This window comes from Homo sapiens, chromosome 15 (genome assembly GCF_000001405.40).
Source record: "Homo sapiens chromosome 15, GRCh38.p14 Primary Assembly".
In the NCBI taxonomy this organism is placed as follows: Eukaryota; Metazoa; Chordata; class Mammalia; order Primates; family Hominidae; genus Homo; species Homo sapiens.
In genome coordinates, this window is record NC_000015.10 from 69,844,021 (window position 1) to 69,850,584 (window position 6,564).

General features: G+C 43.7%; 1 annotated feature.

Moving 5' to 3' along the window:
* Positions 6,049–6,564: an enhancer, noted in NCBI's record as "H3K4me1 hESC enhancer chr15:70142408-70142923 (GRCh37/hg19 assembly coordinates)". NCBI's record gives its function as "activates a minimal SCP1, AML or CMV promoter by ChIP-STARR-seq in primed H9 embryonic stem cells {active_cell/tissue: H9 hESC(primed)}" and the evidence as "EXISTENCE:reporter gene assay evidence [ECO:0000049][PMID:30033119]".

A 6,564-nucleotide genomic window follows, 5' to 3' on the forward strand; every position in this document is an offset into this window, starting at 1 on the left:
GTCTGAGACCTCAGATGTTGAGGCGGGGTGAAAATGCCTCACCGTCACCTCCGCTGAGAGCAGCAACACCTCCAGGTGCCAAAGGGATATGCAGCCAGCCAGCCACGAAGCTGCCATGCGGGGTTCTGCCAAGAAGGCTGAGAATGCGCCTGTTCTCCATTCTACATGACAGTTGGTAACCCGGACACCAGAACAACTGGCTGACCGCTGCTTGAAAACAGTGCCCAGTGTCCACCTGTAGCTCTCACTCCTTCAGGCTTGGTCTGTGAATTTGGGCTGGGATCCAAATGTTGGGGGCAGGTGATGCAGGCTCCCCAATACCCCACCCCTCTGGGGTGCACACACTCAGGGCACTTCTCCCCCAAACCTTCATGGAAACCAGCACATGGAAATTGTGACCTCACCTCACAAGATAAGCAAGCAGGCTTAAAAATACCTAGATCCTTATATGAACGTAGCTCAGGTGCTGACTTCACTCTAGTGTAGAGGGTGATTTTAATTTTGTATGAATTATAATCAATGTGCTTTCCATTTTGAGTGCTTTTTTTTACTCTACATTGTAAGCATGTTCATATTATTACAGTCTTCATAGGCAGAATTCTTAGCAGCTCCTTGATAGTTCAATAAGGAGATGCACCCCTTTTCCTGAGCACCCCCTATTATTGGACATTTAGCTTATTTCCAGATTGTTGCTATTTTTAATGATGTGCATGGAACATCACCATATATTGGGCTATTAGTGCATATTTTCAGAATAAGAATGACCAACTTGAGAAGTATAAAAGAGTTTGATCCATTAAGTTTAATTGCCATCCAACTAGTTTGTAGCAACTCACAAGTCCACCAATATTTTCCACGGGTAGGTACCAGATCCTTAACCGTAATTGCTATAGGATCTGCCTGGCTGGATTACCTCTCTTCATAATGACAAGAATGATTCTTGAAGCTCAGGGTTTTATAAAGAGAAAAGGGAATTAGTTAAGGACTGAATGCAGACCATAGAATCAACTGCATAGAGTTTCTAACCAACCATTTAAACATACATATAGATCTAAAATAACAAACTATATATAGCTATAGCGCCTGTGGGGATCTTGTGTCAATGGCACTCTCACCTCCTAGGATGCATGAGTGAGGAAGAAATACCTTACTTAGCCTGGTAAGGTGAGGCCCTACCACTGCTCTGGAACACCCTTCTGTCATCTGTAGGGGGGATTACCCTCTGCTTCTCCATGCCCACCTTGGCCCCCATTCTGACCGATCCACACTGTAGCAGATGCTCCCTCACCTGTATTGGGAATGGCCTGACAATGGCATAAGAGTTCTTACTCTAAAGTTGCGCAAAAGCTACGCTTCAGGGGCGGGGCCTTCATCAGCTGTATTTCTGAAGTTTTGTTTGCTTTTGCTCCTATTTGCTACTATTCAGACCTGCTGCAAAAGCTGAAAGTGTGACTGTCCTCTAGTTTAGCAATTATGTCTTCTGCAGGTCCCTGGTACACAATGGCCGTCTCTCTTTTTTTTTTTTTATTTTTTTTTGCATTTTGGTAGTAGGAGGTGTGTGTGGACCTTCCCAGCTATTTACAGGAGGAGGAAATCTACTTCTTCTACATACATGGTACCCAAATTCATACTAAGCTGTTTTCTAGGTTGCTTAAGTGCACCCTCCCACCCAGCGCAGCAGCCCTGTGCCCTGTGTATGTGTGGGGAGGGAGGTTTAACTCTTTCATGCTACACCTACGTAGTCTATGAACTAAGGTGATAACTTATACAGATGGTCCCCAACTTCTGATGGTGCAACGTCATGACATATTGACTTTATGATGATGTGAAACAGTTGCAATTTTGATGTAATGTACAGTATTCAATTCAATAAATGACAGATATTCAGCACTTTATTATAAAATAGGCTTTGTGTTAGATGGCTTTGTCCAATGGTAGGCTAACCTAAGTGTTCTGAGCAAGTTTAAGGTAGGCTATGCTAAGCCAAGATGTTCAGTAGGTTGGGTGTATTAAATACATTTTATAGTTACAATATTTTCAACTTGCAGTGGGCTTACTGGGACATCACCTCATAACCCCATCATAAGTCAAGGAGCATCTGTACCTGGTTAATAGAAGGAGGGTCCACCCCCCGACAGGTGGCCATTTTCCTTTTTGAATGGGACAATTCTTATGATGAATCATATTTAACAATAAAAAGCAAAGCTATAATGGAATGACAGGCTGAAAGACAAGGACCCAAATCACTCCATAGAGGCACATCTCATTTTGGGGCCATTTTTTGGTCATCCTTGGAGGTGATGGGAAAGGTAGTAATTTCCTACTTGATGGGTTGCATCAATGACCACAGGTACCTGTCAAAGGATCAGGACCAGGTGAACAGTTTAGCATAGTGACTAAGTCAGACTGGAGTCAGGATGCCTGGACTCAAGTCTTGGTTCCTCCACATGTAGCTGTGTGACTTTGGTAGAATCACTTTCTGGGCTTCAGTTGGCTCATGTGTAATCTAGAATAACAATATCGACTTAATAATGCTGCAGAAATTAAATAAGATACTCAGTGTAAAGTGCTGAATGCAGTGCCTGGCATATAGTGGGGACCTAACAATTGCTGGCTATTACTGTAGTTGTGAGCATCTCATTCTCCAAATCCCCTCCCCAATGCTCCAGCAGTAATTGCACACCAGGTACGGTGTCTTACAACTCACAGATGACTTTCACTCCATTAACCCTTTGGATTCTCATAATTATGGAGGAGGAGAGTTGTTTTTTATTCTCCTGCTCTTGCTATATCATCCTCATCTCTAAAATGTGAACAGTTCCACCTCCCACCCTCCTTACAGGGCTGCAGTAAGAATGCCACAAGAAGGTCGATGTTAATTACATGGTAAGGTCTACAACATCATACAAATGGAAGTTACGTGAGCATTTGGAGCTGCCATTAGAGCCTGCCCTTTTACAAAGCCAAATATTTTATCTAACCACATAATAAGTTTCACAGACACGAGCTGCTGCTCCGTCTTCATCCATGATCTTGCACTTGAAGGGCACGTGGCAGACCAAAACAAGGAGAAATGCTGTATTCGGGTAGACTTGGATTTGTTCCTCTGTGACTTTGAGCAAGTTACTGAATCTCTTTAAGATTCAGCTTCCTCTTCTTTAAAGTCAAGTGGTACCATCTATGTCACAGAGTTATTATAAAATTTCAGTGAAATAATTTAGGTAAAATACCTGCCCATTTATTCAACAAATATTTACTGAGCATCTACTATGTGCTAGAAATGATTATAGGCAGTAGGAATAGGGTGCTGAACAGAGATGGGGGCCCTGTCCCCTTGGAGTGGGGGAAACAGATCAGACCATATATAATTGAAGTGCTTTCTGCTGCAAGTAACACAAAACTTGACTCCAAACAGCTTTGATAGCCCAGGTATTTAACATCTCATATAACATATTCAAAGACTATATATAAGACTAGCCCAGGGTTGGTGAGTTCACCAGCTCATCTATGCTATGAAGGCTAAATCTTTCCATCTTTCTGCTCTGCCATCCTCAGCTTACCTATGTTTGTCTCCAGGCTAGTGTCCTCATGGTCACAAGATGGCTGCTGAAGCTCCAGGCTGGCATCCTCACATGGCAAGGGTAAAAGGCCAGCCATGCAAAGGACCTTTCTTGATGTCCATTTTTCGTTTTCCTTAAGGTGAAATTCACATGACATAAAAAGGACTCATTTTAAAGTGTACAATACGGCAGCATTTAGTACGTTCACAATATTGTGCAACCACCACCCACATCAAGGTCCAAAACATTAGTATCACCCTAAAAGGAAATTCCTAAGAAACCTTTCCCAGAAGCTCAGAAGATGTGCCCTCAAGTCTCATCAACCCAAATTGAGTCACCTGATCGTTCTTAAACTTGTCACTGGCAAGGAGTGTGAGTGTGGGATTATTATGATTGGCCAGTCAGAAGTCCTTTCTGCCCAGCAGCCCCTGAAGCCCAAAACTACTGTATTCTTGTAAAAAGGAATAATGAGATTGTTGGCCCAGAGTGAAGCAAATAATAGATACCTAATGTATGCTTCTCTCCCATATTAATGAATGTTAGATGAGCAGGCAGAGCACACTCCAGCCTGCCAAAATGAAAAAATAAAATGTAACCAAAACAGCCCCTCCAAGCCTATGCCCAGTTAATTTTCAGTGCTTGGAGAAGGCATCTTTGCCACGAAAGAACAGCACACACTGTTTCGGAGATGGCAGAGGAATCGGCATCTGGAGCCTGGATGTCTTGCCAGCCTCTCATGAATTAGCCAATTACACTGCTTTTCTGATCTTTTTCACTACCCTAAACCGACTGCTCTTCTATTCCTTTTAAAAAATGTTACTCAGAAACAGTAGACCATAGTATGCATTTTGAGACGCCTGTTTGCAATCACATTTCCTTTTATGCAACTATTTTGAAGCTTGTTTACAGGCGCTACCTAGAAAGCTAAGATGGTATAGCTAACACCTGCACAAAACCTTTCCCACGCTTCATCCTAAAGGATGTGCTTCCCTTTCTTCCTTGCATTATGGTAACTTGTGAGAATGGTGCACTGTCCTTACTTGTCTGACAGTGCCTCAGGTGCAAGGAACATTCCAGATTATCCCTACGGCTCCTACCAAGATAAATGACTAATTAAGTTGGCACCTCCCCTCCTGTCTCTCTGGGGGTCAGGCTGCCCCTGGTTGCTCCAGGCAACAGGATGGGCCAGAGAGTCCCATAACAGGGAAGCAAAAGCAATAGCTTAGTGAAACAGGGATGGTGACTCATCTCTCATTTCAGAGATTGATGTATTTGTTCACTTAGCAAATATCAGTGGAGGTCAAAAATATGCCCAACACTGTGCTAGGCACCAGGCACACAACAGTGCTGCATGGACCCTACCTCCCTGGAGCTCAACGTCCACACTAGTCAAACAACCTTCCAAATATACAACTACACACTGTGGGAAATTAATATGTTTGCAACATTCAACTGGCCGAGTCCATTACCAAGAAAAACAATAATAGGAGAGATAATGAATAGTCTCAATGTCAGACAATTGCAAATGCACACAGAATCCAGATAAGGGGCCAATTGGCCATGACTCCTCCCATTAGTCCTTTTCATGTGCCTTTGAGGCTGCCTCCAAGGAAGTCCAGACTCTTTCCTTCTCAACGTGTTTTGAGTGGTAGTCTTTTGCCATAGCTCATTTGCAAATATCTCTTTTCATAGCTGCATAAGTACGTGATAAAGTAAGTGTTGTAAAATCTTGATGGTAGAATCAGAGTTAAGGGTCAGCAAACCTTTTCTTAAAAGGCCAGACAGTAAGTATCTCCCACATTTTGCAGGCCGTATGGTCTCTGTTGCAACCACACAACTCTGCAGTTGCATCATGAAAGCCGCCGTAGACAATTCATAAACAAATAGGCCTGGCTGTTTCCAGTGAGATTCTATTTATGGACACTTCTATTTGAATTTCATATAATATTCACATGCCACAAAATATCATTCTTCTATAGATTTCTTTTCTTCAACCACTTAAAAACCATTTAAGAATCATTCTTGGTTTGCAGACCATACAAAAGTAGGAGGTGGGCGGGATTTGGCCGATGGACCATAGTTTGCCTGTCCATGATCCGGGTGGTGGGGATGTGGGTATTCTTTCAATTCTTTGAGGTATTTGAAATTTTCCATATAAAATGTTGGGAAATTGTCTTTTCTAAGTCAATGGCTTGTCTTTTAGCTTTGTTTTGATGTTTCATTATTTAAAAATAATTTTTGGGGGGAGCATGCTATTTATTTGTAGCCAGCTAAACTTGCCAACCTTTTCCTTTGTGGTTTGTGATTTTGTATCTTGCTAAGGAATCTTTCCTACCCTGGCATCACCTAGCTATGCTCCTATATTTTCTGTAATCCAGCTGGAATTTACCTGTGTGTGTAATGAGAGCTCAGAGCAGAACCGTCCCATTTCCACGAGGACACTCAGTCACCCTGTGCCCTTCGTTACTGGTAGGTCCTTTCCTGCTGATTGGGAAGTTTGTCTCAGCCACCTGCCGGGTGCTCTGCATGGATAGATGTGACTCTGGACTGTCTCCCTGTCCCTTTGTCCATCGCTGGGACACTTCTCTTTGTTCCTCTCCTCACCGGGGATGGCGACAGCCTTCCTGCCTCTGGTCAGGAGTTCTCATGGTCTGCCCTGAGAGGGTCTCAGGTCTTTAGGTCTCAGATAGGCTTCAGGGAAGACCTTGGTTATGCAAAGCTTTTTGTATAGCATCACTTTGCTGCTGTATTAAGCTGACGTAGAGACTGTCCTGACTTTACTCTGTCTAACCAGTGCCCCTCCCCACCAGGGGCAAGGAGGAGGAAATAAAAGCAGGGATTGAGGTGAGAAAAGGAAGCTCTGGTCTTTCCACAGAAGAAAGCCACCAGGGAGCCCTCACCGCCCCCTTGCAGGCCATATGGAGCTGTGAGGGACTGTCCTGCACCTCCTGCCTCCCCCATGGAGGGTCCCAGGCGGGCTGCTTTCCTAGGGCCCCAGTCTCCT